This window comes from Homo sapiens, chromosome 2 (genome assembly GCF_000001405.40).
Source record: "Homo sapiens chromosome 2, GRCh38.p14 Primary Assembly".
NCBI lineage: Eukaryota > Metazoa > Chordata > Mammalia > Primates > Hominidae > Homo > Homo sapiens.
In genome coordinates, this window is record NC_000002.12 from 161,107,176 (window position 1) to 161,133,738 (window position 26,563).

The window sequence follows — 26,563 nt, forward strand, 5'->3', positions numbered from 1 at the left end:
TAGAGAAAACTGAAGCAGAGAGCTTTACAAGGAACTACGGTGCAGGAGAGATAAGACTATTAGCTATAGGAATTTCCTGACCCAAGAAAGGAAGACTTTTTCACAAGGTGGCAGGAGATGTCAGCAAAAGAAGAAAAGAAAAACAGTCAAAGAATTTGAATAGAAATTACTCCAAAGAAGACATACAAATAGCTAACAAGCATATGGAAAGATGTTCAACATTACTACTCAACAGAGAAATGCAAATCAAAAGCACAATGAGATATCATTGTGACTACTTGGGTAGTCACAGAAGATAGCTCAGGGTGTTGACTGTGAAGCTCATAAGAGGTTTACCAAGATCATGGATGACATAACTCTTCAGCAGAGGACCACAAAGCAAAAGCTAAGTCAGGGATCACAGCCAGACCCCAGAAGATTTATCTCACTGCAACTACTAAAGCGAGGGCCAAGCTAGGAAACAAGAATAGTTTCCATCATAGTTCCCAGGACCAAGGGCACTTCAGAAGCTCATTCAGCAAGAACCCAGGCATCCCTCACAAGAGCAGACATCCCTCTCCCATTGCCAAAAGGCTAGTTAGTATCCCCTCTCACCTCTAGCTGCCACCTTGAGAAGGAGGGGGAAAGGAAGACACAGAGAAGGGGAAAGGGGGAGAATCCAGGTTTTGCTTTGCCTGAAGTTTATACAATTTATAGAACCCTCTTTAGGAAAAAGAATACAAAATTATAAATAGAAAATTGCTGGGGTCCCTCCCAGGCCTTGAAAGGGTCCTGGGCAAATGAGGGGCCCTGAAGTATAAGATTCCCATAAACTTGCCTCTGAGAAGAGACCCTGGAAAACTGAGTAATTACTGAAAAGAGACTGTTTGAACCTGCAGAGGTGAGGGTGTGCGTCATAGCCAGTGCATACTGCCATCAGTGGGAATGAAGTCTCCAGAGTACAATGACATTGGTCGTAGAAAATAAAGTGAAAATAGGAGTCATAGTGTGTAAATTCCTACCACCTGCTACATTTTCTATGTTCAGAGATTTAAAAGTCACTTTGCAAATTGCTCAAAAAGGAACAAGCTGCTGGAAGTCAAATTTGAGTTTTATTACTACGTGAGTTTAACCTGATGCATGCCCATAACAACAGGGAGGTAAACCGCTGAAAAGTAATAAATGTGAAGATGATTAGGATCACCAGATATCTGGCTTCCCATGGAGATTTTTCACTTGTCCTGGAATTGCTTTACATACACTGAGTTAAAAGCTACTCTATGACAGTGGGTTCCCAGAGGAACATGAGATCCTCCCTTTTCCAACTATATAGCTGTGTGAGGATGGATTTTTTAAAAATATACACTTCAACCAAAACAACGTTTCATGACAGATTGAATGCAGGAGCAGACATCCAAATCCAGCTGTCTCCTATTAAGCCAGACAGTAAAGAGATTTGCAAAAGTGTAAAACAATGTCACTCTCCTCACTAGTTGGTTCTGTTTTAAAAAATAATTAAATATAAATCTATAATATGTAAATATATAGTTATGTTGCTTATGTTAACAGTAATAAAACATCACATTTTTCAATAAATTAATATGTTAAAATGTCTCTAATTTCAAATACAGTATATCTTAATATAATCCACATAAACAACTGTTAAGAGTGTAAAGGTATCCTGAGACTAGAAAGTTTGAGAACCATGGCTCTATAAGAACCAAGGTGTGTGTTGAATAGCAAGCTTTATTCCAAAGGAATTAATAATTAAATATTGTTCTACTTTTGCAGCATGTGAGACCCAGTACAGATTAAGAAACACATAAATATCACAAATATCATTTTATCAACAACTTTAGGCCCCAGCTTCAAAGTCACCCTCTCAAAAGTCTTCTCTAATCACCTTGTCCAAAAGGACCTTTTTCAGTTCCTCTCTCTCTCTCTCCTCCCTAACCCTATTTCCTTAAGAGATTTTTTAAAAATCCCTAATTATCTTCTTTTTTTTATGTGTTTATTTTCTGTAGTCCCATTCTTTTCTTGCTTATTATCTCTCTCTCCCCTTGAATATCGGTTCAATGCAGACAGGGACCTAGGATGTCTTGTTAAATGATCTGTCCCCAGCTCCCAGATAAAGATCTCACACATAGTAAGAGCTTAATTGATATTTGTCGACTGAATGAACTAATTCTATTAAATACTTGTTTCCAAGGTTATAACGATAAGCAAAACTGAGAAATCTAGAAAATACTTTAAAATGTGATATTTGCCCTTCTTTTCTGACATGCTAAACGTTTCTCAAATATGAAAAGACCCACTGTTCTCCCTGTGATTTTTCTTGCGGAACACCATGGTCTTACCCACAGCCAATTCTATTTGGACCCCCAACTAGGAATATTTCCATTAGTGGAAGATAACACCCAACTACAAACTCTAAGGAAACCTGCTGGAGTGCATCTGAGACTGACAGAACTTTGTTACATATTTGTCTCTGACCAGATTTCCTGCTGCTTTTTATCTAAATTTGTTCTAATGACAGTAGCTCAGCCTCAGATTTGGCCAGCATATCAAAAAGTTTCACACATAAACACATACATATCTCCTCACACACATGCACACACACACACATACATATATATACAAATACACACACACGCGCGCACACACACACATATATTTATGATTGACACTGACTGTGATAAACATATATTTCAATCAAAAGGACAAATGCGGCCAGGTGCAGTGGCTCACGCCTGTAATCCCAGCACTTTGGGAGGCCTTGGCAGGCAGATCATGAGATCAGGAGTTCAAGACCAGCCTGGCCAACATGGTGAAACTCACATCTCTACTAAAAAATACAAAAATTAGCCAGATGTGGTGGCACATGCCTGTAGTTCCAGCTATTTGGCAGGCTGAGGCAGGAGAATTACTTGAACCCGGAGGCGGAGGTTGCAGTGAGCTGGCATCAGGCCACTGCACTCCAGCCTGGGCAACAGAGTGAGACTCCATCTGCGGGGGGTTGGGGGGGGAAGGACAAATGCATGCTGGGGAAAGGACTTTTAAGTGTTTCATCCAGGCAAAGGACATTTGTTATGCATTTATAAAGAACATATATTATCATATATGCAACCAGCATTCCCTTAAAAAGAGGATCTAATCTTTTCCCACAAGTACCTTATGGACAGTGCTGTTTAGGTCATTAAATTACATCTGGGACCATGTCTGCATAGAGCTGAATAATGTAGCTGCTATAATGATGTGCTATAGTTATAGCACTTGGTATACATCTTATATTTCCCCTGGCTAACAGTGTATAACCTCGCTTAAATCACTAAATTCTGTATCATGGTGTTTCTATTTGTAAAACATAGATAATAATACCTATCCCAGGCGCTCACCCTAAAAGGATGTCGTGAGAACAGATGAGATTAGTGATGGCAAAGCTCTTTGTTTGAAATGTACTATTTAAATCTCAGGTACTATTATTAGGGCTCTCTGCAATTTCTCAGCTAATGGATTATGCAACAGATGGGCCCTAGAAGATGTTTGATATTATTGATATTTTCTGTAATTTTTTTTTCTTTTTCCCACCTCTCTTATTTATTATTTATTAAAATTCTAGCTCTGATCTACATAACAAGAAAAAGCAGAAGCCTTCTGTGTTTGGGTTGAATTTGCCAAGATCACCTTATCCAGACAATTTTTAAATTATTACTTCTATGCATTTGTAAATGCATTGAGGTCTTCCCAGTAGGAACAACTGACACAGTTGGACTGAACAGTTACCCAATGTGCCAGGATTTGATGCAGGCTAATAGATTAATTCTAAGTTCCTTTCCTTTCCTTTCTTCTAAAAATGTCCTCTTTTTTGGTGTTCATGAACTAAAATGGAAAGAAAACAATTTGACAGCCTCATCTATACTAAAAATGTTTATCTGGGAGGTCTAGCATCAACACTATAGACTAAACTAGCAGAGTAGCATTAACTACTGACCAGAGATATACTAGTCATTTACAGTTTGACAGAGGGAAATCAGAAAGGCTCAATAAGGCAGGCACTAGCTGCCAAGAGACAGAAAACTGATGGAGGGTTAGATCTGGAAGGTGAAGGTGTTACAGCAGGGATAGGAAAAGTTTCTAAAAGCCTGATTCATAGACCTAACACATTGACAGTCTCGGGCCCGGTAGCCTCCACCTGCTTGCTTTCTGCTTACAATCACCTCTGGCCAAGCCAATTCCATTTTGAATGTGATTTAATCATCTTCCTTTTAATGCAAGCTATTTCAACAGTTAACTCACTGCCATGATGCAGCTTAAAACTGAAAAAATATACCTAAGATTTGAGAGGAATGCCTAGCAAGGTATTTTTCCTGGCTCAAATTTGGTTTAATCCAGTCACCTAGAAGATGCCACTTCTTATGAAGCAACCATCCAATAAGCTATCTGCTCCTAGGCAGAATATGAAAGAAAGGAACAGGTTGTGCCTGTTTATTGCTGCTTGGTGTTGTTCCCAAATAAATGGATGCTAATTGAGAGGGAGTGTGGCTTCATATTTTATGACACCCTGGGTATATGCTAAGAAGTCTCAGGAGAGCCGCTTTAAATTAAAGCTAATGTTAAACTCTGCTTAATTAGCATTGCTGTAGCGGGTTTCACTTTTCCCTGTGAGAGGAAGAATGTGCTATGTTACAGTTTTCCTGTTGCAAAATACTAAACTATATGATGGAGGTGAAGAAGTGATTTGGGAACTGAATGACTTTCTGGGCAAGGGAGAACCAGACAGGATGGCATTTTACTAATTAAGATGAGTGGTGTATTAACCAGATGGGAAAATACAGAGTGGAACAATGGAGCGAAATCCTCAGAATGACACCATTATTTTGGAAACTGTTATAAATCAGCTGGGGTTGGGGTCCTATAATCAACTCCCAGTAAAAAATGAGTCAGTCACTCCTGAATATTCTGTGATAAGAAGCACTAAAAATGCTCTGAGCCAAAATGCCTGAATTCCATATAGTTCATCCACATGGAATGGAAATATAAAAGAATAGCAGAGATGGGGCCGGGCACGGTGGCTCACACCTGTAATCCCAGCACTTTGGGAGACCAAGGCAGGTGGATCACCTGAGGTTGGGAGTTCGAGACAGCCTTACCAACATGGACAAACCCCATCTCTACTAACATACAAAATTAGCCGGGTGTGGTTGTGCATGCCTGTAATGCTAGCTACTCAGGAGGCTGAGGCAAGAGAATCGCTTGAACCCGAGAGGCAGAAGTTTTGGTGAGCCAAGATTGTGCCATTGCACTCCAGCCTGGGCAACAACAGCGAAACTCTGTCTCAAAAAAAAAAAAAAAAGAAATAAATAAATAAATAAAAGAAAAGAATAGCAGAGATGTGAATAGCCTCTACTTTTGCCAAATATCATTGTCTATCAGCACACCAATTGCTCTACCATTGGCCTCTTAATCTCGTGCCCCGATGCTTGCTCTTGCTTTCTTCCATTTATACATAAACTGTGCAGCCTTTATGCAATAGATCACGTTCCTTTCTTGAGTGTCAAAGGAAGAGATGCCATGCTGGCTGCCAGTCACCCAATCTGGTGGCAACTTCATCTACAGCAGACTGGAAGCGTAAGAATATTTGTTTCTGGTGAGGTCACCAAACACACATCTCTAGCCACTGCATAAAGTATAAAAGACCAGAGGAGTTTTCACAGATTGATACAACAAGTTGACCAGAGAAATTCGAGCTTGAAATTGTCTTACAAATGGTTTGCTAAGTGAACTGTCCTGCTCATGGTCTCAGGAGAAAAATTCTAAGGTTGAACAGTATTTAGCTACCTACCTCTGCCAAAGAGGGCTATTATCATTTCAGAATAAAGAGATGATTATTCAGCTCTCTGACGCAAGTCAAAACACACTCACATCTCCTGCTCACAGGAGCCAGCATAAAATGGGTACTGAGCTGGGAGAACAGGTGTGTTTGTGCTTGGAGAAAGCAGCAAGGGATATGAAAATGACTTAGCAGCTGGTGGAAAGGAAGATTGAAGTTGTGCCAGGCAAAGGGTGTTTTTTCCCCTAATTATGCAAAAGCCTTAATTTCATTGATCATGTTGTTCTCTTCTTTCTCCATCTAAATAATATGAAATCTGTGTAACAACTCTTTTGGGAAGTCAAAAACATTGCCAGGGACGCTTATTAAGGGAATGAGGGTCAAGAAATTCTCTCTAGTGGATAAGCTTGCTATTTTCTCAGGGTTTGTGAACCATGGTAACTTTAATTAGAAAAAAGATAAAAGATGTAATAAAATGAGATGTAGTTATTCAAGCTGAAAAAAAAATATGTCAATAGAAAGAGTAACCTCTGAAAACAAAACCCAGGAAGTCTGAAAGTCTTTTATATTTGTTGTTATTCAATTGTTGGTATTCATTCTCTTATTTGACAAAAATTTATCAAGCATGTATTTTGTGCCAGGCACTGAGCTACGTTTTTAGAATACAAAAATTAAAAATGCAGTTTCTGCCTTCTGCAATGGCTCACAATCTAGGGGCGAAAAATATCTCACCCTAACTCAGTTGGGGCAGCTGCTTGGATAGAACTTTATTCTAACTAAAAAGCTTAATCTGTCCTTTCATTTCAGGTGCAAATTAAATTTTTAAAAGTTGAATCTTAGTTAAATTTTTCTGATGGTATGTGAGAAACTTGGTAAATGATTTGAATTGAGGACAAGAACCTTGCTCACCCATGTATGACCATGTGTCATGTCCCAGAAGGTCTGTGTCTCCCCTTGCCTTGCTCTGTGATCGTATAAGTGGCCCTACATATAACCCAGATAAGCTCATCTTTCCCAAACCCAAAAGAAGTAAAAGATGGAAAATAACAAAATCAGAATACCCCAACATTCACACAAAAGAGAACAACTGCTTGAAAATGTGTTAGTGACATTACTGTCCTTTGAGTTGGTTCTCTCTCATTCCAGAAAGGAGCACGTGCCAAGCGACCGAAGAGTTGAGGCTACCTTCTGACTCTACAGCTTGTGGTTGTGAACCAACATTACACATCTCCCCATACTGTCAGAAACTGTATCAGCAGTCCTCAGAGCTGGAAACAGCAGTCACAGAATGAGGTTCCATGTCTCTCTGTTTGACTTATAAAATGTCAATCATTGTGTGGTCTCAGATACATTGACTTGCTCACTGTTTGGTAACATTGCAATGACAATGTGTTTTAAATATATGCTGGAAGGACAATTTAAACACTTGACAGCAGTGAGAGTCAAGACAGACCATATTTTCTGTTCTGAATCTAGTATGCAAGAGAATCTGCACATACTGCCAGTGTTTTATTGTCATTTACATAGTCTTCAATTGTAAAAGTGTTGGTTAAGCAGGCATTTTGCTGCTTGGTTTTACCTTGAGAGCCTGATACGGGGAGGAAGGGTTACTAGTTGAAGAGAACTAAGAGGGCTAAAGCCTAAGAGACCAATTTAAAGGTTTTCTATTTGTATTGCTCACCCTCTGCATGTACCACCTCTTTCCTTAACTCCCCTCTAACTCCCAGGCTACTGTCCTAGAACTTGTACCCTTAAAACAATCCATGTAACGCTCCAAAAATGGTCACCCATTTTTATTTGGAAAAGGATTCAAGAAGAATATAAAGAAGGAAAAGATAAAAAAAAACAGTTTAGCTGGATGATTTATTGAAATATTTAACTGTGCTTTATTCTCAAATTATTTTTCCTCTTCAGACACTTTCCAGAAAAAGAGCCAAAACCCTTTGGACTCCTTTGCTCCAGGATGTGTTTCCTTCCTGATTTTGTTTTTCAAAAAGTATAAGCTCCTTGAAGGTATTATGTTATGTGTATAATGAGAATTTGTCCTAACAGAGAGAGAGGGTTTCCCCTCAACTGGAAAGAGAGCAAGGAGCCTGGGAACTCACTTCCCTCTCTGGGTGCAGCCTCAGTAGAGATGCCCGTGCCAAATCAGCACAGAAGCACAGAATCAGCTGCTTCAAGGCACCACACTAGCTTAAAGAGCAGATCAGAAGTGACCATAATGGACCACACTGGCTCTGCCCTCATTTTCGGGGCAAAATGCAAACCTCTAGATTGAAGGAAAAGGAGAACAAGGACAAAAATTAGGTTTCCTGTGAGCTCAGTAACTTTAAGAACATTCCTTATCCACACAAGTTTGTAACACCAAGTTCAATAGTTTCAAATACAATTAGATGAACCACCTTTGTCAGCAGTTATTCTACTCAAAATGGGTTATCTGTTTCTCCCCAGGGCGTGTGTGGTTGTTACTACTTCTCTGGCTGCACTTTATAGGGTAGTACAGATTTCTCCAAGCACCCTGAATTTACAGCCAGAAGACTCAGACTCTATTATTTGGGTCTTGTTCATTTTTACAGTCTTTAATTGAATACCATTTTGTGATTGTCAAGAACTGTGAAGGCTGTGAGATTTTACCCCATTGATTAGCTAACAAGTTAGCCTGCCATAGATTCATGGAAGCTGGCTGATGACATAAGACTCTTGGGTCAAAGACAATGGACTTTATTACTGATGGCACAGCAAGCAGCATGAGTACCATATTTTTCCCTTGTCCCCAGGTCCTACAGAAGCAATGCAGATTGAGATGAAGGCCTGCACGAGCAGTGGTTTGCATTTCAGGAAAAGGACTTTGAATTTAGGGAACTTGAATCTTTTATACTGGACAGCCAGCATGCCCTGCCTTTGCACCAAAGGGAGACACTATCTCTGTCTTCAAAGACTGTTTGCTGTACAAACTTCATCAAAGACATTCTTGGGCAACAGATAGTCGATGTCTCTGCTCCTAAGATATGCAGAAATGTGACAGATGCGTGGAAAAGTTCTCCCAGCAGTGCTAAGCCTGCTGTAGCACTTTAAAAAGCTAAAGAAGTAAGACCTCAGCCCTCCAGAATTCAGTGGAAGATCAACTAGCTGATGTGGAACTACAAGCAAAACATTTCACTTTTCAGTGCTTTTCTTTCTGTGATTACAAAATAGGAATGATATCTGCCCACTCACTGCTTATTTTGAGAAATAAAGGAAAAAGAACAGTCTGACAAATGCTTTGAGTTTCATGATGGACACTAAAATAGGAGAACATCATATAAAGACATACTGGGTCCTAATCACACTTTTATTCTCCAATGACTTTGGGGAAAGTATGACAAATTTACATATATTTTATTCTGATAAGGTGGAAATACTGTGGTTTTTTTTTTGTAAGTGCTGAACATGAGTTTAAGCCCTTAGTTTTGTCAAACTATAAAGCTGACTAAATATGTTTAAACACTATTTTTATTGAAACTGCTGTTTAGATTTCTTAAGAAATCAAATAGGTTTGCTGTCTCTTTATCACATCACTTTGTAGCTGGAGAACAGTACGGATCTATGATTCGTGAGTCCTCACATCTTCTCCAGACCTCTCATCATCTCAAACATGCAGCTGGCAAGTCTTCTACCCTTTCTGTCTTCCACCTCAGGGGTAGGAGCTCTCTTCTTCGTTCTCCTGGCCTTAACTTCCTCTTTGCTGCCTGGTGAGTTTTTACATAAAGTCAAACTAGACTTTCTGCTTGTAGGCACAAGAATCATTAGATTTTACAAGCTGCCTTAAAAAGTACTCCTAAATGCAATTAAAGATTTTCCAGCATTCTGTGGTTAATTTGACTAACGTTGTGCTAAATGATATCCTAAATTTCCGTAAAGACAGTGCTTACCTACCTGTGCTATATAACCCCCTACATGAGAATGCCTCAGCCAGTACCCAAGATCTAGTTAATCAGAGCATCTGAAGATAGAGCTCAGAAATACGCATTTTAACAAGTACCACAGGTGATTCTTGTTAGCCACTAAGGTTTGAGAACAGCTCCTTTGAAATTATCACCAATAGAATTTCAATAATTATGTTATTTTACAAATTGTCCCATAAAATACAAGACACAAGCATAAGCCATTTATTAAAAGGCAAACAAGCAAGAGATATAATATATACTTTTAGTTAAATAGGATAATTTCTAAAGAACAAGTATATCTTAATGATACACATAGTTTAATTTCCTTTATTAAAAGGCAAGAAGTCTAAAAGAATTGTTGAATTAAATATCCAACAATAGAAAAACAGTTAAAGTACAATACATCAACTCAATGGAATATTTTTCAGCTTTTATAAATTATCACTAAAAAAAATTAAGCAATACAAAAATATGCATTAGAAAATAGAAAAAAATGTACAGCACAAAATTGCATGTACATGATTGCAACTAAATATCTTCTGTATTTGAAAAAAAAACTACAAGAGAAAATGTCAGAGTTGTCAGATTATGGGAAAGTCCTCTCCCTCAATTTTTTTAAAGAAATATATTCAACATTGTATTTTTTCTACAATTAAGCTAAATAGATAGACTGTGACAGAGCTTGGAAATCCTAATTGCAGGCTCTGCCTAACAGTTCTACTAATTAAATTAACAACACCTATTTTGCAAGTATTATGAAACAAGAGAATAGGTGAAGGCGACTCATTCTGTTTACCTTGATTTCTCATGGGGCTTAGATTTCACTTTAATACATTATGATCTTTTTGTTTCCCATCATCTTCCCACTAATATGTAACCTCTTTTCATCAAGACTTCTTAATTCACTTCTCAGTCTAGAAATCACGTTCTCTCTCTCTTCTCTTATGGCCTCAGGTACCCTCATTTTCCCTCTCTGGAAATCCATGGGTTACCTGGCCAAACTTAGAATTCACAATACATTTTGCTTTGAGTGCAAAAGTTACCAACTGGCCTATTGGAATTGAATATATTTGTTTATTGTAGTTGTTATTCTTAGGGTTTCAAGTTAGGAAGAGATAATTTTTTCCTTCTACCTTGTAAACATATGATATAGAGGCTCTCAAGATGAAATACTCTTCTTAAACCACACCTTTATTTTATAAACAGCACCATATCTTGTGTCAGGAACATCATGAAATGTTCAGGAGGTGCACTACACAGCAGCTCAGGCAAGAGGTTGAGGACCAGCCAACGTTCAGCCCAAACTCTCCTCACCCAGATCTGTTCTTTTGTTAATGTAAAAGCTAGAAGGGAGAACAAATCAGCTATAAGTTTGCCTATTTTAAAGCTCCTTCATTGCATGATTTTCACCTCATCAAAAATGCCCGCCAGGAGATGCTTCAATATAACAGATGATTTGTGGATACAGAATTGTTCCCTTTTCTTGTGCTTTTTTGACTGTACTAAGAAACAAAGGTTCCCTGCCAAGACCCTGCCAAGACCACTGCTAGTATTCAGTTTCTTCAGTGCACACAGACAGCTGAAAAGAGTATAGCTTGTATTTCTGTGACTTACAGAGAACAATCTTCAGCTCTAACATCTGCCCTACCCAAGCACAGCTCCAGGGAAGCTCAGTAACAGTGATGCTGGTGTCTCGGGAAATGGCACAGCGTTGGAATAAAAGATGTCAGTTGACACTATTTAGCTACAATAAGTTCTATTTATGAGCTTTTAACTTCAAAACTAATATATACAGGTATCTAGGACAGTTGTGTATCTAACAAATCATAAATATTATCATCATTCTCATTACTGTCATATAAATTCTGAGTAAAGAGGAAATCAGTCAAACATTAAGTTGGAGGTAGTAAGAACTCAAAGTAATGCACTAAGTTTCCAACTAGTTATAAAACTGTATTTTCTGCTTAGCTAATCCTCACCAGATTAATGAGTGCTCACACTATGCTTAGTATTGAAACCATAACTTGTGACAATCATTTGCCCATACAGCTGTCCCAAACCAACACAGGACTGCTTCTGTTGTGGAATCTGTCTTACAGCTATTATCAATTCACTGATTTTTTAATAGAATTACTCATTTCTAGGACATTGTCTAGTTCAGATCCAGCAAAACTACAGCTTTCATTTTGGTTATTCAATATTTAGCACCCATTTTGTGGAGATACCATCAAAAAAAAAAAATTCTCCTGAGCTCAGCCTTAGTGACTCAAGTAGTCTTGAATACACCAAATCATATGGAAGAGGAAGCCCCAGAATAAATTTTTGAGAACAGTCTGTTTTATTCAGTCCCATCAATAATTCAGAAATATACAGGGTCTTAGGAATCCATCATGTTAACTATTGAAGACTTAACTAATCTCTAAATTAGAATGTAGTAGCTGTGTGGGTGGGAAGATTTCTTTCCTTGCCCATTGCAAGGTTCATGGCTAACACTTCTATAACAAAAGACAGTTTAACAAGAGAAAAGCATACAATTTATTTTATAAAAGGTTTATGTGACACCAGAGGTTTCAGAAATGAAGAACCAAAGACCTAGGGAAAACTGTGTATTTTTGTGGACAGTCATGCAGAAATGATTGTAGGACAAAAGGGTATGAGCTAATGGTAACAAACTGGGGGAATCTCCACAAGGCCTACTTGTTCAGATTCTTCTTGACCTTTCTGTGTGACATTCCTTCCCTTGGGGTATAGGTCAGGACACCTGTCACATGAGGATCTTATGACCTACTTTCAGGAGAAGGAGGTCAGACTTCTTTGATGGCTAGCTCTCAGGGGAGAAATGTGGAAGGAAGTCAGAGAACTACCTTATTGCTTCAGCTGTTTTCTCAATTCCCAAGGTACTATACTTTGGAGTATGTGTTCTGACCCCCAACAGAGCCTGCAATTTTATTCCATTTCTGTACCTGAGTCTAATTCATATCAAGGTTCAAGCACCATGCATCTGTGGCTTTTCTTGGGTACCTCCAGACCTGGGTCAGTCTGACCTTTCTACTATACTTCCAAAGACTGCCAGGCCAGGACCCGCAGCTAAAGGGAATCTGGGAGCTGGGTCAGCATTTGGCTCTTCAGCTCCACAGGGAGAGAAGAAGCATATCACAGGGTGGGAATAGTTGAAGAATTACCAAAAAGAGAATGATAGGAGATGAGGAGAAGTAAAGGGAAATAGAGTTCATGGCCATGGCCCACTGTCATGATGTAAGGCACAGCTGTAGACCTTCAGCTAATATATGTTTCATAAGTAAGTTGTTCCTTCTTAAATAATTAGCAGCCATCTATTTTGTGTGAGACACATCTTTATGGATATAAACATGCTAGGCAAGGCATGGTGGTTCATGCCTATAATCCCACTGCTTTAGGAATCCAAGATGGAAAGATTGTTCAAGTGCAGGAGTTTGAAACCAGCCTGAGCAACATAGCAAGACTCTATGTCAACAAAATGTTGTTTAAAATAGCTGTGCATGGTGGTGCACACTTGTAGTCCCACTTGCCTGGAAAGCTGAGACAGGAGGATGGCTTGAGCCCCGGAGTTCAAGGCTGCAGTGAGCCATGATCATGCCACTGCATTCCAGCCTGGGTGACAGAGTGAGATCCTGCTCAAAAAAAGAAAAAAATAAGAAGAAGGAGAGAAAGAAAGATGCTATAGCAGGCTCCTCTGTTCTCTGGAGAGCACAGCATGTGTGCCATAGAAAGACCATAGGCTCTGAAGACAGGCACACCTGAGTTCAAAAACTGTATCTGTCATTTACTACCTATGTCCAAGTTACTCAGTCTCTGAGCCTGCTTGATCTTCTGAAAAATATCTAAAGGGTAGTTGGGAAAATGACATGAGAAAACCTAGCCTGGCCCAGAATAGGCGCCCAATAAAAGTTAGCTTCTTGCTACTTTCCTTCATAGGAATTTGCAAACTAGGTGTCAAGGTAATAAAAAAGAAACTCCGTGCTTCCAAGATTAGCCTTTTGTGGAGCTGCTCCACTTCAAGGCAGTCTAATTAACACTCACTCTTCACCTTCACCCACGCATTCATCAGTTTCAACAACGGTTGATCACTAGCAAGAGGTCGCAGAGCAGATCCAGGCCTCCCGAGTCTTAATCCCAATTTATACTTTTGAGTATCTGTTTGCAACAGGAAATTTAAATAAGATGAAAACACAATACTTTATTTGTGGTTTAAAATACCTTCAAATCCATGCTCCCCCTCATCATTCCAGATTCTAACATGATTAAATAAAATTTCTAATTAAATGCTTACTCCAATTTTTATACTAATTTATATGGCATATATTTATGCTATAGCAGAGCTGCTTTTTTATGGATTGTAAATACTTACTATTTTTCCCTTTCAGGTCTTTAAAGCAATAATGTTTCAGAGTTTACAATGCAGACCACATATAACCATCAACCGAGGACATTTTTAAATTACTGATGCTTGGGACAGACCTCAGTCCAATTAAATCAGAATCTCCATGGGTAGCACCCAGGCACTGGGGGTTGGGGCATTTGTAAAGCTCTCTGGGTGATTTTAATGAACAGCCTGAGGGATGTAGGAGGAGGGAGATTTGACTACATTTTCCCCTCTTATTTACTGTATGTCAGAGTTTCCCATTGTGCTCCCCACTGATTATTCTGAGTCCCAACTCCAGCCAAAACACTGGATGGGATTATGGAAGAACCACATCATCTCTTCCCAAGAAGGAGCGCTGTGAGTTTGCCATGACTTTCCAGGCACATCCCAGCAGCATTTCCTATTAAGCAGCTGTTCCTTTCAACCTTCCTGATGTCTTAACCTGGCCCTGTGTGCCCTACCTGCCCTGGGCTCATCTCCTAATCTTGCCCTTACATTATTCCCATTGTGGGGTCATAATAGACTTTGTTCTGTTTGCTAGTCCTTTTGGTCCTGGTTTTCCTCCACAAAACAAACAGATGTCCATAAGAATCACCTGAGGATCTTGCTAAAATGTAGGTTCTGATTCAGAAATGCAGGGGCAGGGCCCTGAGAGTCTGCATTTCTAACAATTGCCCAGATGATGCTGATGTCGCCAACCAGCTGACCACACTTAAATAGCAAGGATATCCATGGTCTTTTTCACCTCTAATTGTGGGCAGAACATAATTCAACTGTTTGAAGTTCTTTTTTCTTTTGTGAGACATTGTTTACCATTTCTGATATATTTGATGTTGAGTCTTTGGATAAAAGTATGTCCCATAATTAAAGCATTGCTCCTATGGAAAAACACAATCCACTTATGATAACCCACTTTTATATTCAGTGCATAGGAAGCACCACGGTGAAGAGAGAGACTTTCTGGATAAACTGAGTCTGGGGTTTGATGCCATTTTTGTCCCACCCTCTATTTGCCATCATTCAAAGAACATGGTCTCTTGCCAATTAGGTTTCCTTTTCCTTTCCCCATTGTTATATCGCCGGATAGTGTGTGGCTTCAATCAGAACTTCCAAAATATTTGGATTTTATGAACTAGGTAATATTTTCAAAAACAATTTGGGGACTGATATAAGATTGCTAATCTTTAATTAGCTAAGCAAAGATATAAAAACAAATAACTACCATCCATTAACAGTGTTGTTTTATTTTTTAAAAGCACATGTTAATACCAAAACATAACTAGGAGGGAACTAATCTCATAATAAAAAGCAGTTCCTTAAAAGTGAATAAATTTAGCTTTATAGGAAAAATCACTACACTAGCCTTATCCTTCTCATTTCACCTAGTCTGATAAAAACTTCATCATAAACAATAGTCCATACACTCCACTTTAGGTACTACTGTAGGCTTAAGTAACAGGAGGAACTTTTGATAGCAAGTAATATTTTCTTCATCAATAACTAAGACTAGGGTCTTTGTGCAGGGAATGAATCTGGTTTGAAAATCAGTACCAACCTAAACCACTTCCAGGTTTATCATCCTTTCCATGCTCTCTGCAGTAGACACGAGCTGTTCCTAGAAGGCTGATTTCTATTTGCCCCATCCCAGCTTCCTTCTCCTACCTGTTGGTCCATATTGATAGGTTCTATGATATCCTAGTTATGACAATCCTCTTTCCTCTGTATTGAGGAAATGCCAGCCCTAAACAAGAGAACTTTGTTTTATCAGTTTTTCCAGAATATGAATGTTTGATTCCCACCAAGTTGCCACTGATTACTTTACATGGTATGGGCTGCATTTATGAGCAGCCCACACAGGATAAGTATCCAGAAAAGAAACAAGTTCCTGAGTCGCTGTCAGGATTTAATTCTGTAATCACTTTTAAGAAGTTGTGTTGGATTTGTAGAGAAGGCAAAACTCTGTTTTCCTATGCTTTGAAACTGGCTTCAATGACAATAAAGAAGAAACCAAAGAAAATGCTTTTGAAATTAGAGAAATAAAAACTTCTGAAATCTTTACGAGTAGGCAAGCTGTGAAAGCAGTGGCAGGGTGCTTCCTGCTGAGTCATGAAATGGAATGATTCATAGTCAAGCAATTCAAGGCCACAGACAACAGAACTCAAGCAAGGGAGTAGCAGGAATCAAGCCCAGATTGTAAATCCAGGATTGGAAACATAATTGAAATCAGGAGTAAAGCAGAAATATCACAGGAACACAGGCTGTTTGAGTCTGGTGGACATGCCAAAATTAGGAAAATGGTAGAACAGAATTAGGTCATTATTTGAGGATCGGGAACACAGACCAGAGATAGATGGATGCTAAGTGAAGCCCCTTGATTCAGGCTTCCTGGGAAAGAAGGCCTAAGAGACCTTAAGTAGATCTCTTGGAAATCTTTGTCAGCCCTACCTACAAAATTACTCCCATTTACCCAGTCTATCCACTCGCCTGTCTGGGAGCCACCCTGAAAGAATGATGAATGTCTCTGAGACTAATTCTACACACCAAACTGGTCCAACCACATTGACTGAAGCAATAGTTTGAGAAAACAAGTCCACAAATCAAACCTTCTTGTTCTGTCTATAGATATAACCTGAATCTAAACTTTGAGTTTAAATTGTCTCAGTAGTAAAATTACTGATGCATATAGCAGTATATACAGGCTTTTTTCTGTTGCTTCTGATTTTCATCAGAAACCCTAGAACAGAGAAGATTAAGAACACACATTATGAATTTAAGAAGCCACCCAAACAGCTGATCTAGAAATTCAAATAGCACAGATAAAAGGCAGTGGTGAGAAAAGAAATTAAGTGCTTTCTGCATATATCATGCTTAGTTCATCCAATGCTATGGGCTAAAGTGAGTCCCACCAAATTCGTGTGTTCAAGCCCTAACCCCCCTAACCTCAGAAAATGTTTTGGGAGATAGAACTTTTAAAGAGATGATCAAGTTAAAATGGGGCCACTAGGATAGGCTATAATCTAATCAGACTGGTGTGCTTATAAGAGGAAATTTAGCCACACACAGTCACAAGGGACCTGCCTGTACAGGGGAACCACCCTGTGAAGGAGAAGAAGAGAATAGCTAACTGCAGGCCAAGGAGACAGGCCTGGAATGGGTTTGTTCCTCAAGGCCTTTAGAGGGAATCAACCTTGCCAGCAATTTAATTTTGAACCTCCAGCCTCTAGAACTGTGAGAAAATAAATTTCTGTTGTTTAGGCCCGCTGATCAGTGGCATTTTGTTATGGCAGCTCTAGCAGATAGCACATCAAATAAACTGGTTAATGGAAGGGGAAAAAAATTCTGCTACTTATAAGTTTAAGTGCTCTATATCTTATAGCTGCACAAACTTTCTGAACCATACCCCTAACAAATTTTAAATTAACCTAAAAAGTCAATTTAGAATTCTGTGTCTTTTATAAAGTTTTAACATCTTTCAAGAAGAGGAAATAAACTTTCATTATCTTCAAATGTTCTTTCACATAAAGTCTGAAGTTTGTAGCCTGTTCCTACATCTTATCATGTCAGAAATAGAAACAATTTTTCTTCCTACATAAAGTAAACTTTCCTCATTAACATAAACATATGTTCAGACAAGAGCATATTCAGGGTTTTACCATGTTTCAGTGGATAGAAAATAAGAGAATACTCTGAGAGCTCATTAAGATGGTTTGATACTATTTGTCGAAAGTTTCAAGAGAGAATGTTGATTAAAATACAGGGAGTCAGTTAAAGTCCTCTCCTCAGCCTCTTGGGGTAATTTATCACCTTCAATCATCTTAAAGTTTAATAGCCAATAACAGTATAATAGTTCTCATTCATGAGGTAGTTATATTTTAACTGGGGTCAAAGCATTATATTACAAATAAAGATCTAACCTATTTCAGACATCATTCAAGGAAGATTTGAGGAGCCCCAAGATGTTGGTGGGGACTACACCTGTAAAGACATTTTATAGTTAACATCTGCTTCACTGACCTTCATATAATGTAAGTAATATACTTAAACAAAGCTACTGCTGAATGTTGACATAACAGGGTATAATGAAAACTTATCCCCTGCATTCAAAAGTGTGCCAGCTAAGTATGTATTGCATCCCAGCTTCAAAGCCACCTTTTATTGGCTGCTTGGCAAAAATGAAGCTGGAATGTTGAAATATTTCTTCTTTGCAGTGACAACAGTGTCAAGCTTTGTCTGTATACGGAGGTGGAGAAACACTACAAGAGGAATAGGGCTCCTCTTCCTGGTTCTGGTGTTTTCTATTTTCTTCTTGTTCCTATCTCATGGCTACCAACTGTGCATGTAAGGTTGCTCTAGTGACACCCCATCAAGTTGCAGTGGCATACATACTGATGGCTCCTCATCGAGTTGCAGTGGCATTCCTATTGACAGCTTCCCGATGAATCTCACAGGTGTCCCGAAAGTCAGCTTCCCAGCCTTGGCCCACGTGCACTTTGGAGGGGTGGTTTACTCATTGCCCAGCATCTGTGGACCAGTTCTGGCCTGGGCAACCAAGCACACTTCTCTGGAATCTCCTGGTCTACAACCACACCTTTTCCACTGTGGTCTGAATTCCGGCCTTAGGAAAGAGGTTCTCTTTCCCACATTTGTTCCTTCTTTAGATACCCTCCCTGAGCCCCAGATATCCTTTTGAGTATCTTTACTCCTTTATAGATCAGCACCTGGTATAGTTAATAGTTATTTATACTAAACTTTCCCTGTTCTAATTACTATCTGATTTTGTCTCCTGATTGAACCTTGACTGGTATAAGAGGGGTTGGGGAAAAAGGCCTTCATTCCTAAGGAATAAACTTTCCAAGCACTTATTTAAAAAACCCAAAGTATGCAAAGAACCAGAAGATAGTTTGCCCTTCTGCCAGAGTAGTCTATTTCAAATGACTCTAATATCCTGACTATAACAAATGACATAGAAAAAAACCAGTGAGCATTCAAATCCAAGAAAGATAGTTTCTCATATTAAACCCTCAACCAAAAAATCAAATAAAACAAAACCCTTAAACTAAAAATTCAAACTGAAATATACAAGGGACTTAATCAACTGTTAATCTGCAGTATGGTACCCAAATGAATATGTTCTGTGTTCAGTTTAAAAATTATCTGGAGGAAGCAGGGAAAAGGAGCCTGACTAGCTAGACTTTATACATCTGTTCTCTGCAAAAATATTATCTCAAACTAAGCCAGGTGCAGTGATGCATGCCTGTAGTCCCATCTACCCAGGAGGCTAAATAGGGGATTGCTTGAGTCCAGGAGTTCAAGGCTGCAGTAAGCTATGATCATACTTGATAATGGTCACTGCACAGCAGCCCAGAGTTTATAGATTATCCTTTCCATCTCTCCCTCTATTCCTTTCTCCTCTCTTATTTCTTTCTCACTGTCATTGGGTCTTAGACGTTAGATAGGTTAACATTTGTTATCTTCCTCATTTATAGAGAATTACAAGTATGAACTATTAATCCTGCTATTAGAAATTGTATCAGTACTAATAGAGAGACCTCCATCTCAAAAAGCCACACACACACACACACACACACACACACACACACACACACACGTAATCACAAAATAGGCCAAAACAGGTCATGTTGGAAATGCAAGATCTGCAGCCATGATACTTTGCATATGTTATGCAGAGTCCCACACTTAGAGTGCTAATGATTGAGAGTCATGATACCTGTCTCACAGGCTTGTTGTAAAGATTAATACTGAGAGCAGTGTTTGACGTAGAGCAAATCTCCATAAAGGCTATTTGTTGTGGTTATTGTTGTATTCACGACTCCTTTTTGACCATATAGAGTATTACAGCAAGAAGATTTCAATTGCTAGTAACAGAAAATCCAACTCAAACTGGCTTAAACAATACGAGGGAACCTTGGGGATTACATAATTCAAAAGTCAAGAGGTAGAGGGAGCTTTAAAGTTGTTTGAGTTAGTGGTTCAGCAATATTATTAAAGACCCATGTTTTGACCAGGCACAGTGCCTCACACCTGTAATCCCAGCACTTTGGGAGGCCGAGGTAGATGGATCATTTGAGGCCAGGAGTTCAAGACCAGCCTGGGCAACATGGTGAAACCCCATCTCTACTAAAAATACAAACATTAGCCGGGCACAGTGGCATGCGCCTGTGCCCAGTTACTGTATCCCAGTTACTCAGGAGGTGGAGGCATGAGAATTGCTTGGACCCAGGAGGCAGAGGTTGCAGTGAGCTGAGATCATGCCACTGCCCTCCAGCCTGGGTGACAGAGCAAGACTACATCTCAAAGTAAATAAATTAATTAAAATTTTTAAAACACCAATTTTTTCCCCATCTCTCTTTTTGGCCATCTCGTGATGATGGTTTTATTCTGTAGTTGAAGACCCTTACAGCTTTAGGCTGTTTGTCAGCCTAAATAATGAAGGCTGTGCTTCACTTTTACTTTCAGCTCTGTAATCCAAGCAAGAGTCCTGGTATTCACCAAGGTTAGACTGGCTCGTGTCATGCACTCCACCCTCAGCCAATAACAAAAGTAGGAGAAATATAATGTACTGACTGGTTTGAGCCAGTCCTAGCCTACTCATGGACAGTGGTTGGAGTTTGCTTCCCAAACAGTACATAGGCTACAAGGGGAAAAAGGAAAAGGCAATATAGAAGTTGCATAGACAAACAAAAATGATCTTGCTTAAATAATTTAATTTCTCGCCATCTAGTTTTCCTGCAAAACTTGTATGAATTCACAATTTTTTTTTTTTTTTTTTTGAGACAGAGTCTTGCTCTGTCACCTAGGCTGGAGTGCAATGGTGTGATCTTGGCTCACTGCAACCTCCACCCTCCGGGTTCAAGCAATTCTCCTGCCTCAGCCTCCAGAGTAGCTGGGATTACAGGTGCCTGCCAGCATGCTCGGCTAATTTTTGTATTTTTTAGTAGAGACAGGGTTTCACCATGTTGGTCAGGCTGGTCTCGAACTCCTGACCTCAGGTGATCCACCTACCTCGACCTCCCAAAGTGGTGGGATTACAGGCATGAGCAACCATACCCAGCCAATTCACATTTTAATTTTACAGAGACAGTGAAGAAAAATACATCAATGAATAAAAAACAACAAAGAAACTCTCTTACATAGTCTTACCATGTGCTCAGGGTTTTAAATCCTTTACACATACTAATTCATTCAATTCTCAAAACTACCATAAGTTTTAGGCAAGACATTTGTCAAAGGTGAAGTCAGGATTTGGAATGTAGGCATTATGGCTCCAGCACCTATTTGCCTAACTCCTCTGCAGAGAGATGGATGTTACTTCTGACGTGCTCCAGAAAGTGCCGCTGGGCTTGGTTCTATGGCTCCCTCTCCCAAGAGCTGATCAGCATATTGCAATTGATGAATGAAGGGTTAAAGAATAAATAAATGAGACATGAGAAAGAGGTGTTTCTACAAAGTTTTTTTCCATCCAAACAATATTTTAAAATCTGAAACCCAATGATAAGAGAAGAATAAAACACACAGTTCTTTCACCAATTGAATAATTAGAAAAAGTTCACCAATTCCATCCCACTCAGCTTCCAAACCATAACAGCATCTTCAAATTATAATGCCAAAGGTGATCAAGTACTTTGAAGCCAGGATCTCTAATGCCAGTGAAAAACTGTCAAAATTATGAGTCAGCTGTTTGATATTTAGAAAATCAATTAATCTCTTTGGGTCCGTTTCCTGCTCTTTGAAGTGATTTAACTTAAAAAAATCTTTTAAAAATAGCATGTCTACGCACAGAATTACCTCTACACTTTTAGAACTACCTCAATCTTTCCTCCTCAAACAATAGCTTGTGATTTTACTTGAAACCCGTGTTTATTGGATATTTTATCATGGCTCTGGCATCCCACCAAATATGATCAAATTAAAAAGGAACTGAACTGGTAAAGCAAGGAATAAATAACACACAAGGAACTTTGAAATCTCTCTGCAAGCTTCAGCTAGTTAATCCTCCCAACATCCCCCTGGAGTCATGCTAAACAGTTTTCAAAGGTCAGATCTCATTGAGAATTTGACTTATTTTATTGAAGTAATAGAAAAACCCAGAGTTTATGGATTATTCTTTCCATCTCTCCCTCTATTCTCTTCTCCTCTTTGATTTCTTTCTCACCACCATTGTGTCTTAGAGGTTACAGACAGGCTGACATTTTTTATCTTTCTCATTTATAGATAATTACAAGTATGAACTATTATTATTAATCCTACTAATATTAGTAATTGTATCAGTACTAAATTACTGTGTTCTCACATAGAAAATTATTGATGACAGGCATCTCATAGCAATTTCAATTTCATGAATTTATAATTCCAAAAGAAATATATTTCAGGTAATGCAAATTTGTTTTCTACAATTTATATATTCCTTACCTCTTTGAGGGGAGTTCAGTAATTTCTATTTTATCCTAATATCAAAACCACTTTTCTAGGTTTCTCAGTTTAGAAAGAAAATGCCTGTGAGGCTCATTCTTTTGGCTGGTGTTTCTCATCAACTTTAGAAAAGAGAAATCCCAGTGCATAGATCAAAATAGAAAGGTTAATTGGTAATAAACTAAATGTATTGCTATCTTGGCCAATAAAACAGAAAGTAGAATGTATAATATCTAAAACAAATTCTTCAATGGTGAGATGTCTCATTTTCTGATTAAATTCTGTCAGCTTACAGAGACTTTTTATGGAAACTTAAATAGTTCACCTTGTACCCTGTAGAAAGTATCATGTATTTTTTATGAGACATATTAAGCTATACATAACAGATTAGAAAGGAAAAATGGAAGGATGAGTAAAACTGCAGAAACAAATGTGCATTATCATCTTCCTTGACTAATTGTATTGAATCTGCTCCCAGGTTGCCCTATTTTTCTAAATTGGCATTTGAAAAGAGACAGCATGTCTAATTTGCTCCTCCACTTCTCAACAAGAGCACCTGTGTTAGTCCGTTTGCGTACTGCATGAACAACTGCCCAAGACTGGGTAATTTATAAAGGAAAGAGGTTTAATTGACTTACGGTTCAGTATGGTTGGGGAAGCCTCATAAAATGTACAGTCATGGTAGAAGGTGAAGGGGAAAACAAAGCGCCTTCTTCGCCAGGGGGCAGGAAGGTGGCGTGCCAAGCGAAGAGGGAAGAGTCCCTTATAAAACCATTAGATCTCGTGAGAACTGACTATCACGAGAACAGCATGGGGGAAACCCCCACCCACCATGATTCAACTACCTCCATCTGGTCTCTTCCTTGACACGTGGGGATTATGGGGACACAAAGCCAATCATATCAGCACCTCTTCTGCATCACCCTCCTTTTCCCTTCCCATCCTCCTGCCATCTTCAATTATGCTATTCTTAACATGCCCATCCCAAGACCAAGGTAGGTATTAAGCAGGAATTGAAGGTGGCATATTCTCAGTTCGTTACGTTCTTGTCAGCCTGGAAGCTTCCACAACTAGGCATAAGAAGAAATCAGCCCGGGCGCAGTGGCTCACGGCTGTAATCCCAGCACTTTGGGAGGCCGAGGCGGGCGGATCATGAGATTAGGAGATTGAGACCATCCTGGCTAACACGGTAAAACCCCGTCTCTACTAAAAATACAAAAAATTAGACGGGCATGGTGGCTGAGGCAGGAGGATCACTTGAACCTGGGAGGTGGAGTTGCAGTAAGCCGAGATCTCGCCATTGCACTTCAGCCTGGTGACAGAGCGAGACTCCATCTAAAAAAAAAAAAAAAAAAAGAAAGAAATTGAAAGTGGTAGAGAATGCATCTGAATTTTTTTCCACCTCCGTTAAAATTTCATGTATCAATGAATGAGAGAATCTTCACTAGATAAAGTGCAGTGTATTGGGCAATCCCAGGTGCTTTAAAAGTTGTTAAGAGGATGGACTTTGGAGACAGACACTTCAGTTTCCACTTACATTTAATGGCTATGTTTACTTGGTCAAGCCACTTTACTTCCTTATGCCTCAGTTTTGAATCTATAAAAGAGTACCTCCTTTATAGGGTATTATAAGGATTAAATAAAGTGATACATGTAACGTACTTAGAACTGTGCCAGGACCATAGTAAATTATATACAGGTATTTGTCATTATTAATCCATCTGAGATTTTAATCTCTTCTACATTCCCAAACAATGGTCATTCATCATATGTTTCCTTTCTCCCAGGGAAGAAGGAACTCATTACCTCTTAAAGTGGCCTATCTCATTTTCTGACTATTGGAACGCTGATCTTCCTGTAACAAGCGAATTTTTTTTTCCTTATAGTTCTGGCTCACTGTCTGAGGCCTTTCTTGGAGCTGCATAAATGAATTTGATATTTGAATACAGTTCTCTCCTTCCCAGTTTCTCTAAGCTAAACATTCTCCATTCCTGCAATCATACACATGTAATATGGATGAGTATTTGATAACTAGTTTGTCTGTGGTCTTAAAGAGTGGTACCCTGAAAGATAGGTCAGAAAGCAGGACTAATGCGTCCCTCATTCTAGAGGGAATTCTAAGGTCCTATTACTTTGGGGATATTTTTAGAATCCCCATATTATCACCTCAAATAAAACTCAAGTCAGTTTTGTGTGACTGCTACTAACTTGCATCTCATCAACCCTTTCTGTGATTATGCAATTCCTTTCTGGTTTTTGTTCATTTGTGGGATGGTGGTAGGGAGGGGAGTAGTAACTGACAATTTCATAATTATTCCTATTGAATTTCATTTTGGCATCAGCCTATTACTTGAGTTTGTCAAGAGTTTTTTAAATTTTTAGTCTATCAATCTTTGTTTTATCACATATTACTAAGTTTCCTCTTTCTTTTGATAGCCAAAAATACATACCTATCATATAAAGGGGAGGACAAGGTGCTGGGGAATCCAGGGTCCCACTTTTATTCTTGTTCTCAAAAATAATGTGCCTAAGTTGCAGAGAAAAAGAAACACTTATACACTGTTGGTGGGAGTGTAAATTAGTTCATCCATCGTGGAAAGCAGTGTGACGATTCCTCAAAGACCTAAAAATGGAACTGCCATTTGACCCAGCAATCCCAACACTAGGTGTGTACGCAAAGGAATATAAATTGCTCTATCAATAAAGATACATGCACGTGTATGTTCACTGCAGTACTGTTCACATAGTAAAGACATGGAATCAACCTAAATGCCCATGAATGGTAGACTGGATAAAGAAAATGTGGCACATATACACCATGGAATATTACGCAACCATGAAAAAGAATGAGATCATGTATTTGCAGGAACATGGATGGAGCTAGAGGCCATTATCCTTAGCAAACTAACGCAGAAACAGAAAAGCAAATACCACATGTTCTCACTTATAAGTGGGAGCTAAATGATAACACGTGGACATATAGAGGGGAACAACACACACTGGAGGGAGAAGATGAGGAAAAATAACTAATGGATACTAGGCTTAATACCTGGGTGAAAAAATAATCTATTTGACAAGCCTGCATTACACAAGTTTACCCTGAACTTAAAAGTTAAAAAAATTAAAAAGAATATGCTCAAGCTACTTCTTAACTACTTAGTCTGTGTACCTCACAGATTTATTTTTTAAGGCTAGATGCTAAGAACACTCAAATTGTGTCTAACTATCATCAAGACTATATGCTGGGTACAGTGACTTACACCTGTAATCTCAACCTTTTGGGAGGCCAAGGTTGATTGCTTGAGCCCAGAAGTTCAAGACCAGTCTGGGCAGCATGATGAGATCTCAACTCTACAAAAAAATTTAAAAAGAAAATTAGCTGGGAGTGGTGGTGCCCACCTGTAGTCCCAGCTACTCAGGAGGCTGAGGTGGGAGGATTGCTTGAGCCCAGAATTTCAAGGCTGCAGCGGGCTATGATTGTAACACTGCACTCCAGCCAGGAGCAACAGAGTGAGACCCTGTCTCAAAAAAAAAAAAAAAGAAAAGAAAAGAAAAAAGAAAAAGTAAAGATTATAAATAATCCCCTACAATGTTAAAAAGATAAGATTTTTACAATTATTTTACTAATAAAGCTATGGAAACAAGCAGAAAACCACAAGCTTAGTCTAAAAAAAATCAGAGTGGATTTATTGAGAATACGGAGAAGGGTATAAAATAAATTTTTAACCCTTGATCCTTTCACTTGTTTAATCCGTGGGTATCTAGGCATCTCTTCATGCGTAGCTCGAGCTCTGAGAACTGCCTCTCTGCCCACACAGCCAGAACTTTGTATGCATCACCACTCTTAACTTTGTCAATGAGCAGAGTTAAACGTTTGCACGTCTATCTCTTGCTTAAGAACATGAGCTCCTCAAGAGCAAAAAAACCATTTTAAGAACTTCTGCACCCAGCATGGAGCCTAACACATGGTAGATAATAAATGTTTATTGAATAAAT

The 26,563-nt window shown here is 38.9% G+C and overlaps 1 long non-coding RNA gene across 1 annotated transcript in view; it reads right to left on the minus strand.

The window, feature by feature from the left end:
* The window catches only part of TANK-AS1 (TANK antisense RNA 1), a 64,199-nt gene that overhangs the window by 11,084 nt on the left and 26,552 nt on the right, over nucleotides 1-26,563 (minus strand). The gene's annotated exons all lie outside the window — the stretch shown is intronic.